The sequence below is a fragment of the Homo sapiens genome, chromosome 1 (assembly GCF_000001405.40).
Source record: "Homo sapiens chromosome 1, GRCh38.p14 Primary Assembly".
Taxonomy (NCBI): domain Eukaryota; kingdom Metazoa; phylum Chordata; class Mammalia; order Primates; family Hominidae; genus Homo; species Homo sapiens.
This window is the reverse complement of record NC_000001.11, coordinates 89987633-90003334: the sequence shown is the minus strand read 5'-3', so window position 1 is coordinate 90003334 and position 15702 is coordinate 89987633. Positions and strand designations below refer to the sequence as shown.

The window sequence follows — 15702 nt, the reverse complement described above, 5'->3', positions numbered from 1 at the left end:
CAGTGAAACCCCGTCTCTACTAAAAATACAAAAAAAATTAGCTGGGTGTGGTGGCAGGTGCCTGTAGTCCCAGCTACTCGGCAGGCTGAGGCAGGAGAATGGCATGAACCCAGGAGGTGGAGCTTGCAGTGAGCCAAGATCGTGCCACTGCACTCCAGCCTGGGCGACAGAGTGAGACCCGTCTCAAAGAAAAAAAAAAAAAAAAAGAACTAAGTGAAAACATTGTTTTAACGAAAACGACCGACATTATTTGTTGTCAAGGATAAAATTCATGCTTTCAAGTGAACATTAGAATTTTTTAAAAGTTGTATCTACCACCTTGAGCTTGACACCTTCCCAATACTTAAAGGCTTTCTGAAAGGTTGGTGGTGGTATCACTGAATATGATTTTTTAAATATTGTGCCATAAAACTGATCAATATTTGGAAAATCTGCATTTTATATAAAAACTAGTATTTTCCAAATAATGCCGATATTACAAAATAATATATGGTAAAAAAGATCCATTCAAAGTGCAAGACATACTAATGGGTTTTAATATAACAGTACAAAAAGTTTATCAATATACAAAACATATGGAGATATGTTACTGCTTTTTTCATTTGAAGACTTCAAATCTGGTGTGTAATTTACACTTACAGAGCACTTCAATTCAAACTATCCATGTTTTAAGTGCTCAACAGTAACATGTAGCTAGTAGCTACCAAACTGGACAACACAGTCCCAGATTAATAAAATAGTTAATTTTTTGTGATACAGTTGGTAAGTATATAGTAAAATTTATGCTCATATCTCTCAGAGGATAATTCTGAGATTAAAATAAAGTTTTCAAAATGAAAAGTTTTCCTCTAAGGCCTCATATTAAAAAATAAGATTATGTTTAGTCAGGTACACAGAGAAAAAAATCTTATGTTTTATTTCTGCTAGTTTCTATTTTGAGTTAGCACTGGCTGCCTTTGAATATTAAAACCTTTAGTTTTTTGTTCTATTTATTTCACTATAATCATAAAATTATTAACATTTATTGTACACTAACCATGTATGTGTTAGGCACTGTGAAATGTACAAAAATTAATAAAGCTACTTTTATATAGCAATGATTCTGTTTGATTGTTCATAGTAATGTTACTACTCATTTAAACAGGAGGAAAAGTCTTTATATTGTATACAATCAGTGTAGTTATAGGGCTACAGATAATGTAAGATGACTGCTTTTTTATAAATTTTTCTTCCAGGTCACCAAAATGAATTTTAAAATCACTTTTAAAAATAAAACCATGAGAACATAGTAGTATATCTTAAATGATAGTAATTTACCCAGAAAAATAAAACTGACCTAATAATTTAAATCAAATATATTCTATCACTTGGATCACTCTATCATACAAATAATACGCTCAAAAATGCTAAAACTCATTTTTAATTAAAACACAAAGCAGCAGCTGTGACATACTGGGGGAAAAAAAACTGACCTATGGGCTGGGCAAGGTGGCTTACACCTGTAATCCCAATCCTTTGGGAGGCCAAGGCGGGTGGATCACCTGAGGTCAGGAGTTCAAGACCAGCCTGACCAACATGGTAAAACTCCGTCTCTACTAAAAAACACAAAAAAAATTAGCCAGGCATGGTGGTGGGTGCCTGTAATCCCAGCTACTCAGGAGGCTGAGGCAAAAGAATTGCTTGAACCCAGGAGGCGGAAGTTGCAGTGAGCTGAGATCACACCATTGCACTCTAGCCTGGGCGACAAGAGAGAAACTCCACCTCAAAAAAAAAAAAAAATTAAAAACTGACCTATGACCAAAATAACTAACTATGTGACATTAAGTCTTGAGTGGGACTACTTTTTAGCAACTCTACACTACCAGCACCCTACTACAAGATACCAACATCTACCACCTAGGTTATTGCAAAAGTCTCCTAACTGGTTTTCCTGCTCCACTTTTGCTCCTTTGCTGTTTTTTCTGAAGACAACAGCCACAATAATTCTGACAAAATGTTAAGTTCAATCATGTTCAATGCTCAGTAACCTCCAATGGGTTCCTCTTATTCCAAGTAAAAGCCAAAGCTTAAAATAACATCTAAGAACCTATACCAGTGGTTCTTAACTAGGGGAGATTTTGCACCCCCTGGGGACATTGGCAATGTCTGAAACATTTTTGGTTGTCACAACTAGGGGGCAGATGCTACTGACATCTGGCATATTATAGAGGCCAAGGAGGCTGCTAAATGTTCCACAATGCACAGGACATCCCCCTACAACAAAAAATTACCCAGTCCAAAATGTAAGAAATTTGAGAAACCCTGCCCTACATGATATGCCCCATCACCTCTTAACTTCATTATCAATTACATACACCCCTGTTCACTCCACTACTACAACACCAGGCCCCTTGATGTCTCTAGAACACAAGGTGTATACCCATTTTAGCAGCTGCTGTTCCCTCTGCCTGGAATGCTCATTCCCCTGAACCTGCACTGTTTACTCCCTCAACTTTTTCAGGTCTTCACTTGTATTGCTTCTGATATATAAGCAAATTATCTTTGATTTTCAATGCTTTCTGGCTCCACCTCACCACTCTAACCTTGTCTTAAGATTGCTCAGCAAAAAATCATCTGTTCTAGTCAAGCCAGCGTTAAGGTCTTGCTCTGTCACCCATGCTGGACTGCAGTGGCACAATCATAGCTCACTGCAGCCTCCACCTCCTGGGCTCAATCGATCCTCCCATCTCAGCCTCTGGAGTAACTGGAACTATAGGGGGGCACCACCACGCCTGGCTAATGTTTTTAAAAAATTTTTTTGTAGAGACAGGGTCTCACTATGTTGCCCAAGCTAGTTTCAATCACCTGGCCTCAAGCAGTGCTCCTACCTCAGGCTCCCAAAGCACTAGGATTATAGGCATGAGCTACCACACCCTTTTCTCTCCCCTTTTCTATATGCTATTTATGTAAAAGGTATTATGAAGCAAGAAGGAAAACATGGAGACACTGGAAATACATTTTCCTTCCAAGAAATAGTGTGGGGAAAATCTGTATCTTGCCATGTTTTCCAATGCCTTCTACTTCATTTCACTTCCTAGAAAATACAGTGCTAACAATAAAATATATTTTTGGCTTTTTGGTACCTACACACTGTTTATTTCTTAAAGCCCGTAAGTCTTCTTCTAAATGGCTTCATGGCTTGCATACTCACTCATCTTAAATCTATGCTCAAATGTCATCTTTTTGGTGAGTCTTTCCCCAGAGACTCTAAAATTGCAACACATACAAGCACACACACACATTTATCCTCCTTCTCTATGTTACTCTCCCTCGCAATGATCATCATCTAACATACAATAAATATTACTCCCTTTTTCCCCTGTGGACTAAATTATGACATATATATTATTTCTTATCTTGTTTACTATTTCATCCCACTAGACGGAAAGCCTCACAAAGGCAGGAATATTTGTCCATTTTGTTCACTGCTATATTCCCACCTCCTAGAACGATATCTGATGCCCAGCAGGCACTAAATAAATATTTGCTGAACAAAGTCAAATTGAATCCCTGAAATTAAGTTCCTCATTTGTAAAATATAGATAATCTAGACCTAGAAGTACTGTCAAGCATTGGTCTTTAATCAGAGGTGCCTTCCAAAATCATTCAGAGTAGTTTTGCACAACATACACAGCCAAAGACCACTTGCCCTGAAATTAAGATTCAAGAGGTATAGGCTATGTGTGAAAAGAGAGACTTTGAAAAAGCTCCCCAAGAGATTCCAACAATCACCCTCAGATGAGAACCAGTTATAACTAAAATTAAGAGAAAAAATAAAAGTCATATTAGATCTTTTTGCAACACTGTATACTAATTAATAAATAAACATCTGGCCCTGCATGAGTCTGCATTTCAAGTCCTATGTTTAGACATTAAATCCAACTATCCAGTAAATCCTAGATGGCCTTTTATCATTACAAACTCTCTCCCTCTCCCCCTCCCTCTTCCCCTCCCCCTCTCCCTTGTAAAAGCACTAGTCATACATTCCAGTTTAAAATCCTGGATTCATTTTTATTCAACCCTCTCAATTTTCTACCCATTACTAGTCAGCCTGCAAGTTCTGCTAATTTGCTCTTTATTTTTAAGATTACTACTACTATCACCTCCCAAGTTCAAGGCCTTAAAATCTTTATATCAAAACTTATGAAATGGCTTTCTCGTTAATTTTCCAGTTTTCAATATAACTTACATGTGGATGCAAATTAAACTTCCTTTGGTAATTTTCAATTTCCAGCTCACAAATACATTCTTCAGTACTAACTCCCTATATGTTAAGCCTTTTTAGCCCACATGAAATCCAAAGTTTATCTTAATCTTTAAAGATAATGAAATAAAAATTAACTGTTCAGTAATTATTCCCATAAATGGCATAGTCTTTAGTATACATTTGCTTCAGTTTTACTTTGTGAATATATTCTATTCTGTACGAAAGTTGGATTTTACATTTCTCTGGCAATCATGATATTTAATGCCTCAAGTCCTTCATATGTTTTTTAACCTGCATTAATTGTTCTGTGTTCTTTTTTTGTATTATTATCTTGTGTGGCAGGGCCCTAACTCTAATAACTATCAAAATGACATCCAATTGTATTCTACATACCTCTCATGATTCTATCTAGTTCTATAGTCACAAGTCTAATGTCATGCTCATGTCAATAAACAATCAAGCTTCTTCATGTGCTCCTCTAGACAGCTCTTTATATACTAACACATTTGGACACACTGAAGAAAATGACCTCAAAAACAAGGTCAAAATGCATTACAATACAAGCTATATAGAACCAAGCCAATAATCCACTTAGTCTACATTACTCAATACCAAAGCCTCTAATTCAACCAAAATAACTCAGCCAGTGTCTTGTGATTCATCACTCAGAATGTAGTTAGGCCCTTTGGAACACATTAAAATAATCATAATTCAAACAAAATGGACCAAAAAAAAAATCAAACTAATGTGAATAACCCCTAACATTTTCTGATAGCACATTCCCCAATTCAAATACTATATATAGTAAGACAATATTAACACATAAATGATATATCAAGAACCAAAACAAGGACTGAAATAGGTAGAACTGGCCTTTTACATTGATACTATATTTTTATGCGCATGAAGAGAAAAGCTGAAAGAGGATACTTACCATTAAAGCCCTGATAAGTATTCCTGCAGGCGGAGTGTGTGTAATCTATGAAGACACATTTAACAAAAAGGAATTAGTGTGATATTAGCAATAATTCAAAATTATATGCCGATCCAGTAAAAAACAAGCACAATTTTTAAAATGACATTAACCCAATTATCTGCAAAACTGAGAATAGTTAAAACAAATAATTACCAATACTCCATTCCAGAAAATGTATCTCTTTTTTCTTCACTATCTCCCCAAATGGTAGGTTTATTATCCAAATTATGGTAAACATTAGTTTACAACACCTGATACATAATAACAGCCAAAAGAGGGGATTCAGCACTGATTTGTACCAAGTAACACAAAGGCAGATAGATTAAATTATGTATCAAATAATGCAAAAGCAAAGACATCTGAGAATTGTACGTAACATGAAATTTTTGCTAAGTTAATTTCTTTTACCATTTAATTTGCTCTTTAAAGATTTCAAGATCTTGGCCGGGCACGGTGGCTCACGCCTGTAATCCCAGCACTTGGGAAGGTGAGGTGGGCGGGTCACGAGGTCAGGAGTTCGAGACCAGCCCGTCCAATATGGTGAAACCCTTTCTCTACTGGAAATATAAAAATTAGCCGGGCCTGGTGGTGCGTGCCTGTAGTCCCAGCTACTAGGGAGGCTGAGGCAGAAGAATCACTTGAATCCAGGAGGCAGAGGCTGCAGTGAGCCAAGACTGCACCACTGCACTCCAGCCTGGGCGACAGAACGAGACTCTGTCTCAAAAAAAAAAAGATTTCAAGATCTTATCTGAGACATGCATATGCATATACATATATGACTGTGTTCTATATTCAAGCAGAATGTGTCATCACTGAAAACCATATTGCCAATTTCCTCATCAAAACTAATTTAACAACTGTTAAATTCTTTAGTTAATTTTACAAATATATACTGAAAGAACAGAATTTAATATAGTGGTCATCTGGATACAACAGAATCCTGCTACACTATACAGGAATAGATTCATATATGGTGTTAGTCAAACTCCATCTTCCAAATACAGCAGTGGTATATTTGGGCAGTGAGACAGGGCGTATTTCATCACTAATATTGTTTAGAATTTCTATCACTGACACTGTTTAGAATTCTGGCATATGGCAATAACAGAAAGCAGACATACTACATTTTATTATTGTTTTTCAATTCTCCATAGAAATGGATTCCCTTATTGCCTTGGGTGGGGAGTGGAAAGAACTGTTTCTACTGCCCCACCTCCACTTTGTTAGCCTCTGCTATACCTTGGGTGTTGGCATTATCATCAAACTACAGCATGAAAATACAATAATATATTTTTTATTTTCACTCCCAACTCTGGCCACTTCAAATATTCATAGTTTTTTGTTTTGTTGTTGGTTTTTTGTTTTTTTTTTTTCAGACGAAGTTTGGCTCTTGTTGCCCAGGCTAGAGTGCAATGGCACGATCTCGGCTCACTGCAACCTTCGCCTCCCGGGTTCAAGGGATTCTTCTGCCTCCGCCTCCCAAAGTGCTGAGATTACAGGTGTGAGCCATCGTGCCCAGCCCAAATATTCATAGTTTAAAGGTATCTACATCAAAATGAGTTAAAGTCCAACCAAAACAAACAAAACCACGAGAGTGTGCTACTCTTAAGAGCTGAACTTACTATTTCAAAGTAACTGAAAAGTATCTACAAGAGGGCTATTCCAGTCCCCTTTCACAAATCTGTACCTAGATATGAAAGCTTTAATTCTTTGTTGCATGAAATGTTATGAAAAATCAAAAGCTCATCGAGTAAGACATATGCTGAGATCACACCTCATTTAAAGATCATTTTTTTGGTGGGGTTAAAAGTTTACAGCCTACTTAGTGAACTGGTTTTACTTAAGCATGCCTGGTTACTCAGGATTAAATCCAGTTTAATCACATAAGTCCTTTCCCATGTCTCCCTAATGTTGTCACTACATACCACTTTATCTTGACACCAATTCCAAGCAAGGTTTGAAAACAAAAGTGAAGACCAAATTAATATTACTTTGTGACCCTGTAAAAGTGGTTTAAAGAATTAGTATCTGAGACAACTGAAAAGTATTGCTAAAATACAGTTTATTTAATCCGTAAGTCAAACACTTACAAGGCTGTGTACAGGTCTAAATGTGAAGGACATTTGATGCTTGCTGTGCCAAAATTCTGATTAACTTAAATCCTACCTACACACGATCCAAAGAAAAGTGCTTTGGTTCACATAAATATTTCAAGTTAGGGATTAATAAGCAGGTAATTTTTGGTGATAAACACCCCAGTTTACTAACCAGGAAACATCTTGCTTTCCATTTTGCATAGATATTTATCTATACATATCACTTACAGACACCCTTTCAACTCATCTTAAACCGGGACAAACAGAAACATCACTGTGAACAAGCCTCTGAAAATTCTATCTGGCAAGAAGTAACCCGAGGCTGAGGATTAACTAAACGGACGGTCTGGGTCGCTGCCCTGTGGGGCGAATGCGAGACTAGGTGGGTGAGGCCGCACTCGCCCGTTTGCCCGAGACCGGGAAGTTGGAGACGTCGGGGCAATTTCCACTACCAGGGGCCAAGGCGAGTCTGGGGCTCCAGCCCGGAGGCTCTCGCGCTCTAGGCGCGTCCTACCGGACACCGAGTTCTCTTGTCTCCGCCGGCAGCGGGCGCCGAGCGGGCCGAATCGGGGCGCGTGGGTCCCCAAAGAGGCCGACTCCGGGCGCTGGGCCCGGGGCGGGCGGGCGGCCTCCGGGCCCGCAGAACAAAGCCCACACGGCCATCTTGAGACGGTAAACAGACCCCCTGCGTAGGCCACCCCGCCTCCTGCCAGCTGCGCCGACCAGCCAGAGGCAGCGCTTACCGTCCTCGAAGTCCATGGCAGAGGCTGAGGGCCGTCGGCCTTGGCGGCGCTAGGCTGAGCTATGGCCGGCGGCGAGCGTCCGCGACCCGCGATTCCACACGATCACTCCGCGCGACCGAGAGCGGCGCGCTACCAGCCCGGGAGCCGCAGGCCACAGCGAGGCTGGGGAGGCGGGGCCGACCGGCGCTACCAGCCCCATCGGCGCGGCCTGCTATTGGCTGACGCGGGCTGGTGGGCGGGCCCTCGCGTGGGGGGCGGGAAGCAGGTCCGCTGTCACGCTCGGAGGTGCTGACCCTCTGGAGCCGCTGACGGGGAAGGAAGGTAAAAAAGGAGCGCTAAAGATTGGCGGGGGTTGTGGGAAAGCAAGCCGAGTGTACGGGAAGGGCCGGCTGCGGCCCGCCATGTTTGAACCTGGCAAGAGCGAAAGAAGCCGGTTGGAATGCCTTCTTCCTGCCCAAACTAATAAAACCGCATGCCTACCTTTTGCTTAGTATTGGCTAGGGATGACTAATCATAACATTTGTAAGTACTTACGGGGTTTCCTCCATGGAGACACAGAAGTCTGGGACGTTTCTAGAAGCCTGTGGCAAATTTGAAAAGCAAGATACAAAATAGCGTATGGAGTCTGATTATCGCTATGTCAATAAATTTTCTTAAAGGACAAAGCACTGAAATAAAATGGAAATAATAATTCTTTTAAAAAATTTTTAAATTATTTTTATAGAGATGGGGGTTTTGCCATGTTGCCCAAGCAGGTCTCCAACTCCTGGACTCAAGCGATCCCCCCACCCCCAGCCCCGTCTCCGCCTCCCAAAGTGTTAGGATCACAGGCGTGAGCCAATGCGACCCGCCTGGAAAGAATTCTAAAACATGGCCTGCTTGGCCACCGCCCAGGATCTGCAAGCTGCGCGCCCACAAGTTTCGGCACCCATTTGGACTTTCACAATCGGAGATGGCAGTGGTGAAGGCATCAACATCAAAAGCTACCAGGCCTTGGTATTCTCATCCAGTATATGCAAGATACTGGCAACATTATCATCAAGCAATGGCTTGGATGCAAAGCCACCACAATGCCTACAGGAAGGCGGTGGAATCCTGTTTCAGTCTTCCATGGTTCTTCCTTCCTGCGCTTCTTCCCCAAAGCTCTTACGATAACCAGGCTGCGTATCCTCAGTCCTTCTATGACCATCATGTGGCCTAGCAGGACTCCCCCTGCAGTTCTTCACATTTCAGAGGGTCTGGGCAACATCCACATGGCAGCAGTAGGATCCAGGCATCCACAAGAGAAGACCAAGCCTTATCCAAGGAGGAAGAGATGGAGACCGAGTCAGATGCAGAGGTAGCATGTGACCTGAGCAATATGGAAATCACCGAAGAGCTCCGCCAGTACTTTGCAGAGACAGAGAGGCACAGAGAAGAACTACTGCGGCGGCAACAGCTGGATGCGGAGCGCCTGAACAGCTACGTGAACGCTGAACACGACCTGTACTGCAACACCCGCCGGTCGGTAGAGGCCCCAGCTGAGAGGCCTGGTGAGCGGCGCCAGGCCGAAATGAAGCGTTTGTACTGGGACAGCGCCGCCAAGATCCAGGCCATGGAGGCTAACGTGCAGCTGAGCTTTGACAAGCACTGTGATCCAAAGCAGCCTAATTACTGGCCGGTCATCCCCCCGAAGTTCTGAGCTCGGGGCACAGGGCACCCAGCCTCTTCCTCTTCCTTTTGGATACGCGCTCTTCATCTCTCCTTCTGTACATTTCTCAGGGAAAGGGGACTTTGTACTGAGGTACAGGCACGTTCACCACAGTCCCAGTGGGCCTGTCACGGGGTGGATGTACTGTGCCAGCCACTTGGAGGTCGGCAGGACATATTCTGTTGCCAACATGATAAATTTTATCCTGACATAAAATGATAATTTTGTATATATTATACTGGTTTTTTATGTTGTCAGTAACAGTTCAATTCATTAAAGTTCTTGCCTAGAAAAAAAAAAAAGAATTCTAAAACATGAACGATGATTCTTTTTGTGATGACTTTTTATATACACATGATTATGTGTTCTTCTATATCTCCAAATTCTTGAGCACTTTCATAATGTAAAATATATATTTGGCCTAAAACAAGATTTATTATTTATTAATGATTAGTGTTTGTTAAAAGTTCTCTTTAGCCAAATATTATGTTTCATTTTCTTTGAAGATATACTTAGTGATGCGGAGGTGGGGGGCTCTCTTGGCCATTTAAGTCAGTGGTTCTTGATTGTGACTCTACTCTGGAATCCTCCAGGGCACTTTTAGTAAGTGCCAATACTCAGGTTTCACTTCAGGGGTTCTGATTTGATAATGAACCAAAACTGTCACCAATGTTTATTTTCAAGACATTTAAAAGAGATGTTATTGGACTAATTTCTCTTCTGTTTCAGTAACCTGTACTCCTTGAGAAAATGTCAAGTCTAGAAAAAATAACTTTAGAGACAGGCTATGATCCAGTTCTGAATTTTAAGGTGCAAATAAAAGAGCTGTAACAGTTCACAGATGGGTAAGATTTGTGGCAGAAGAGTCATCCAGAGCTTGAAGGATGACCTATAGAAACACACACACACATACTGGATTGTATTATTGCCACTTTGGAAACAGTGTTTGAGACATGGACAAAGTTATTCAAACATTCAGGAATCTGGAAAAAGACAAACTGACATTGGAGCAGTTTGAACCACAGATTAAAAAACTTTTTTTTTTTCATAGAGCAAACGGTGGCAACAATGAGTTGATCACCAGATAGGAAACCATGAATCAAATTATTTACCTTTTTTCAGGGTCCACCCAGTTGCTGGAACCAAGTTTCAAGGAGGCAACCTCTGGAAATACAACTACAAGAAAAGCTCACAGATACACTATGTGTATTACTGTTGCCCCGGAAATGGGCAGAGCATTTTTTCCTCCTCCATCCTGATTGATTCACCCTGTTCTCCACCCTTTTCTTGTTTCCTCCTTTTTTCCCTTCTATGCAGATACTTCTCCACTTACTTGAGGTTACATCCCAATAAGCCCTTCATAAACTGAAAATATCACAAGTCAAAAATGCATTTAATATGCCTAACCTATTGAACATCATAACTTCACCTAACCTACCTTAAATGTGCTTAGAACATTTACATTAGCCTACAGTTGGGCAAAGTCATCTGGCAGCACAGTACATTGTAGAATATCAGTTGTTTACCCTTGTGATTACATCGCTGACTGGGAGACGCTGCCCAGCCTTGGAAAAGAGTATCCTACTTCATGTCACTAGCCTGCAAAAAGATCAAAATTCAAAATTGGATTATAGTTTCTACTAAATGCACGTCACTTTCACACAGCTATAAAGTCAAACCATAGTAAGTCAGAGACCATCTATACATGTTTTATATTCACCTAAGCTGAACATTTTGAAAACTGAACTCATAATTTCAAACCTGTTCGTCCTCCTGTATCCTTTCATCTCTGTTAGTGGCATCATGAACAGCCACACACTAATCCCAGCTTACGAGTCATCTAGTCAAAACTCAGCCCTCCCTCATCCTCCCACCTCCAATCCATTCTGAAGTCTTTCATCTGTTTATTAGTGCCTAAAATATCTTAAACCTGCCCCCTCCTCTTCATCCCCACTGCCACAACCTAAGTTTAGACTCTCATTATCTCTCTCCAAAACTATTGCCTCAGCTTCCTAATTAATCTCTCTGTCTTTCAGCCTCCTCAGGGTTGCAGTGATCTAAATGCAAATCTCAACATGTCATCATGCGTCTCTGTCAAGGATTAGGTGTAGTCAAATCTCCTTACCCTAGAACACATGCAGCAGGATCTGGCCACTGCCTGAACTGCGTCATCTCTCTGCATTTCCCTTGCCTCCTCTCTCCCACACTCTCTCTTTTGATTACCAATTTTAGGCGACAGGTTCCCAAAACACCCCTGTGCTTTTTCATACCACTGAACTTTTGCTTATGTTGTTTCCTCTGCTTGGAACACCACCTGGTTAACCGTACTCATCTTCAAAACACAGCTCAGGATTTATTTCCTGTAAGAATCAGTCCCAGATCCCAACCCCACCCCCTGGGTCAGTACTTCTCAAATATTTAGCATGCAAATGATTCACCTAGGGACTTGTTAAGACAAAAATCACATTCAGTCAGTCTTGGGTGGAACTGGACAGTCTGTATTTCTAACAAACTTCCAGGAGATGCTGCCGCTGGTGGAGCCACACGTGGAGTAGGAAGGCCTTGGGTTCTGTGACTGCACTATCTCCCATGCATTAAATACCCTGGCTTTATGTCTTCCCACATTAAAAGCTCTTTGGGATTAGAATCAAGACTTCTTTGCATCTTAAGTGCCAAATATATATGTTTACCAAGAAAACTGAGTTCTCACTGAATGTTTTTAGCTTTTTTTTCTTATAATTTTCCCCCCGTTTTCCTCTGGCAAAGAAATGATTTTGTAGCCTGAGGTCTTTAGGTGTTGGCATGACTAGAAGGGAATAAATATTGGGTCATTGTATTTGTGTGTCATGTGTGTATGTGTGTGCACACACACATACACACACACGCCCCTCTTCCCTAAAAGAGAAGACTGCCAGACAAGGAATTCCTAACTTAGAAACAAACCTGACCTTGGCACAAATGCATGGAAAGCCACAATACACATATATTTTCTCCCTTTCCTTCCTGTTTCCCTCCTCTTTCCCAAATAGGAGGTGCTGTTCCAGAGGCAGATGGCCATACCGCAGAGATATCTCACAATACATGAGACTATCCAGCTGTCTCCTAATTCATTTATTAAACGAATATTGACTGAACACCAACTATGTACCAAGCATCATTTTCTCACTTCACAGTTATCTCTCTCCCACCCCCTACCCCCCACAGTCTAGCTAGGCTGCCTGTCCTGTTCTTACTTTGTTAGGCGCAGATTTTTATCTTAAAGGGCCAATGCTTTGTACAAAGTCTCATGCCATTTCATCTTCCATATATTTTACAACAGATGGCAGGTAAATAATGCCAGACCGGCAAAGTCCGAAGTAAAATAAAAAAGAATAGGGCTTTTTATGTGAAGATGTAAAAGGATATAGGGCTGAAGTCAAGAGAAGACTTCTGGGAGAAGGAGGAAATGTGAGGTTACACCTAGGACCTGATCCTGAGGGAGTTGTCAGAGAAGCCCCACCCTGGAACCTGAGAAGAACTAAGTGAGTGGACTCCCTGAGGAGCCAGGGACCTTTGTTCCTCATCTCCTAACCACCTGCCTACATTCCTTCTGCTCTAACAACACAGGCCCATCTGCTGTTCCCCGAACAAGCTGTGTATTTTCACTTTCCCGGACTTTGCTCATGTTGAACTCTCTGCCTCTATCATGTTTCCTCTCTTCCTTTGCCATTCTTCAGGCTCAGTATAAATGTTGCTTCTTTGTAAACCTCTCCCGAAGTTCTTAATCAGAATCCCCTTCACTCTCTGTAACCTTATAAGTGGTTATCACAGCTGGATTTTTGCTATAATTAGTGAGTGAATTAGTTATATCCTTGCCTTGCTTCTTGTTCACACTCTTTGAGTGTGGAGACCCTTCTTTGCAACCCTTTGTATGGCCTGTACATAGCACATTGTCACTATGTATGTTGAAGGGGAGGAGCATCAACCAAATGATGAAAAAACTTAGACTGAAATGAGGTCTCAGAGCTTCTTCTGCAGAAAATCACTGTTGTACAATTACTTTGGAGAGAAGGTGACAATAGCATTGCAAAGGAGAGTCTTGATTACACGATGCTTTCCTAATTTGCCGCCAAATAATTCTTCCTCCGTGTTCTTTTTTTGTTCTTGTTTTGTTTTGTTTGTTTGTTTGTTTTTCTCTGCAGCCCAAGCTGGAGTGCGTGGCGCGCTCTCCGCTCACTGCAAGCTCAGCCTCCCGGGTTCACGCCAGTCTCCTGCCTCAGCCCCCTCCCCGAGTAGCTGGGACTACAGGCGCCCGCCGCCACGCCCAGCTAATTTTTTGTATTATTCGTAGGGACGAGGTTTCACTGTGTTAGCCAGGATGGTCTCGATCTCCTGACCTCATGATCCTCCCGCCTCGGCCTCCTAAAGTGCTGAGATTACGGGCTTGAGCCACCGCGCCCGGCCATCTTCCTCCATGTTCTTTAGGGAATCCATAGAGGCTTAGAGAAGGAAGTCAAGAGCTAACAATTACAATTACTATGGTACAGCCAAGCAGCCAAACTTAAAGTAATTTCTACTGAGGATCTGAGGTCATATCAAAGAAGAGCTAGTTACAGGGCCACAATAGTGGAAAACTGCTGAAAACAGCTGGTATGACAGCATTGAATGAAATGTTATTTTATACACGGGAAGATGTCTCTCCCTGGTTTTAATATAGAACTACAAAAAGATGCAAGTGTCTCTAAAAGCTGAAAGGAATAGCAATATAAATTACAATTAACCTTTATTAAGGCCTATATGTTCATAAATGTTCCGAAGCACTTTACAGGTGTTAACTCATTTTATCTGCTCAACAATGCTATGATTGTAGGTATTATAATCATCCTTAATTTATCAATGAGGAAACTGACCCAGAAAAGTAAAGATTTGTTCAAAGTCACAAAGCTAATGAAGTGTAGCACCAAGATTCAAACCCAGTCAGCCTGGCTCCAGGGCTTAAGCTTGCATCTCTGTCATTTTGATGTACCTACTGTGCTCTACTGAGGAATTCTGATGGATACTTTACAAGCCCATTTCTTTACAATAAGGTAGGTTATACCCTTTCCCAAACAAGGAAAACTGAAGAGAAGTTAAGTAACTCACTCAAGACCATACAACCAGCAATTGCTGGCTTCATATTTATGATAAATATTGTTTAGTCATGCTTAGGTCTATTGGTGTATGGAGCCAACCTTGTAGAGCCAATACCATCATCAGAGTCCTCAGGTTTGAAAAAAAAGACTTTGCTAATCTATAGAGGATTTTTATATAATTGTGCATAATGCGGTCAAACAGAACTATTAATACATATAAGGTAACTATGTAAGTGATCAAATGCTTTGTCCTATGCTCCAGGTCTTCCTCAGATTAAAAAAAAAAAACTGGTTCATTTTATATGAATTTCTTTTCCCAGAAAGCAAGGTAAAGTTCCAAATACAAAGTGCTTTCAAAATGTAATTGATACCTTCCTTCATTGGTTACATATTATATAAAGTACACTTTTCTGGAAAATGAAGTATATTCCCTTATAGGAACTCAGTTACAACTCTGAATTATTGCCATTCATTTTATCTTACTTTTGTGTTACACTCCATCATAAATTTTAATTTACCAAGTATATTGACAGCAAGCTGGCTGTGACATGTCAACCCCACTGATTGCCAGAACTGATTTGCTGGATCTGCCCTGTTAAGATGGTGTCCCATTTCTTCCTGGCTCTGCCACATGTGTTTTTCCAAAATCTGGACACTTTACTGGAGAGGATGATTTCTCTAGATGGAGAAAGACCATGGTCTACAGAGAATCAAGTTCTTCTGCTGGAATACTCAAGGCATGTTGAGTAGGTTCCCCTGCCTGACTGTGTCTCTCCCAGTAGTTAAGATAATGAGCCACTTGAAGGTGGAGATTTCATCTTTGTGTCTCCAGCCTCCTAG

The 15702-nt window shown here is 41.1% G+C and overlaps 1 protein-coding gene and 2 pseudogenes across 7 annotated transcripts in view, besides 5 other annotated features; 2 read left to right on the top strand and 1 right to left on the bottom strand.

Annotated features, from left to right (window-relative positions):
- The window catches only part of ZNF326 (zinc finger protein 326), a 40424-nt gene extending 32199 nt beyond the window's left edge, over nucleotides 1–8225 (bottom strand). For all 6 annotated transcript variants that reach the window (NM_181781.4, NM_182976.4, XM_047418427.1 and 3 more), the window contains exons 1-2: nucleotides 8062–8225; nucleotides 5181–5225 (exon numbers count right to left, since the gene is read on the bottom strand). Coding sequence is in view for 5 of the 6 variants with exons in the window: in NM_182976.4 (NP_892021.1) it covers nucleotides 5181–5225; nucleotides 8062–8077 (61 nt within the window). In the remaining variant the exon portion in view is untranslated. The remainder of the gene's footprint in view (nucleotides 1–5180; nucleotides 5226–8061) is intronic.
- Nucleotides 7441–8006: an enhancer, noted in NCBI's record as "H3K27ac hESC enhancer chr1:90460888-90461453 (GRCh37/hg19 assembly coordinates)". NCBI's record gives its function as "activates a minimal SCP1, AML or CMV promoter by ChIP-STARR-seq in naive H9 embryonic stem cells {active_cell/tissue: H9 hESC(naive)}" and the evidence as "EXISTENCE:reporter gene assay evidence [ECO:0000049][PMID:30033119]".
- Nucleotides 7441–8573: a biological region, named in NCBI's record as "H3K27ac hESC enhancers GRCh37_chr1:90460321-90460887 and GRCh37_chr1:90460888-90461453".
- Nucleotides 7510–7559: an enhancer, noted in NCBI's record as "active region_1300". NCBI's record gives its function as "activates an Ori minimal core promoter by ATAC-STARR-seq in GM12878 lymphoblastoid cells {active_cell/tissue: GM12878}" and the evidence as "EXISTENCE:reporter gene assay evidence [ECO:0000049][PMID:35858748]".
- Nucleotides 7780–8419: a silencer, noted in NCBI's record as "silent region_1061". NCBI's record gives its function as "represses an Ori minimal core promoter by ATAC-STARR-seq in GM12878 lymphoblastoid cells {active_cell/tissue: GM12878}" and the evidence as "EXISTENCE:reporter gene assay evidence [ECO:0000049][PMID:35858748]".
- Nucleotides 8007–8573: an enhancer, noted in NCBI's record as "H3K27ac hESC enhancer chr1:90460321-90460887 (GRCh37/hg19 assembly coordinates)". NCBI's record gives its function as "activates a minimal SCP1, AML or CMV promoter by ChIP-STARR-seq in naive H9 embryonic stem cells {active_cell/tissue: H9 hESC(naive)}" and the evidence as "EXISTENCE:reporter gene assay evidence [ECO:0000049][PMID:30033119]".
- On the top strand, nucleotides 8369–10070 carry GEMIN8P4 (gem nuclear organelle associated protein 8 pseudogene 4; annotated as a pseudogene). The gene is given in 1 exon segment (NR_002830.1): nucleotides 8369–10070. The product of NR_002830.1 is annotated as a gem nuclear organelle associated protein 8 pseudogene 4 (transcript).
- Nucleotides 15391–15622, top strand: RN7SKP272 (RN7SK pseudogene 272; annotated as a pseudogene).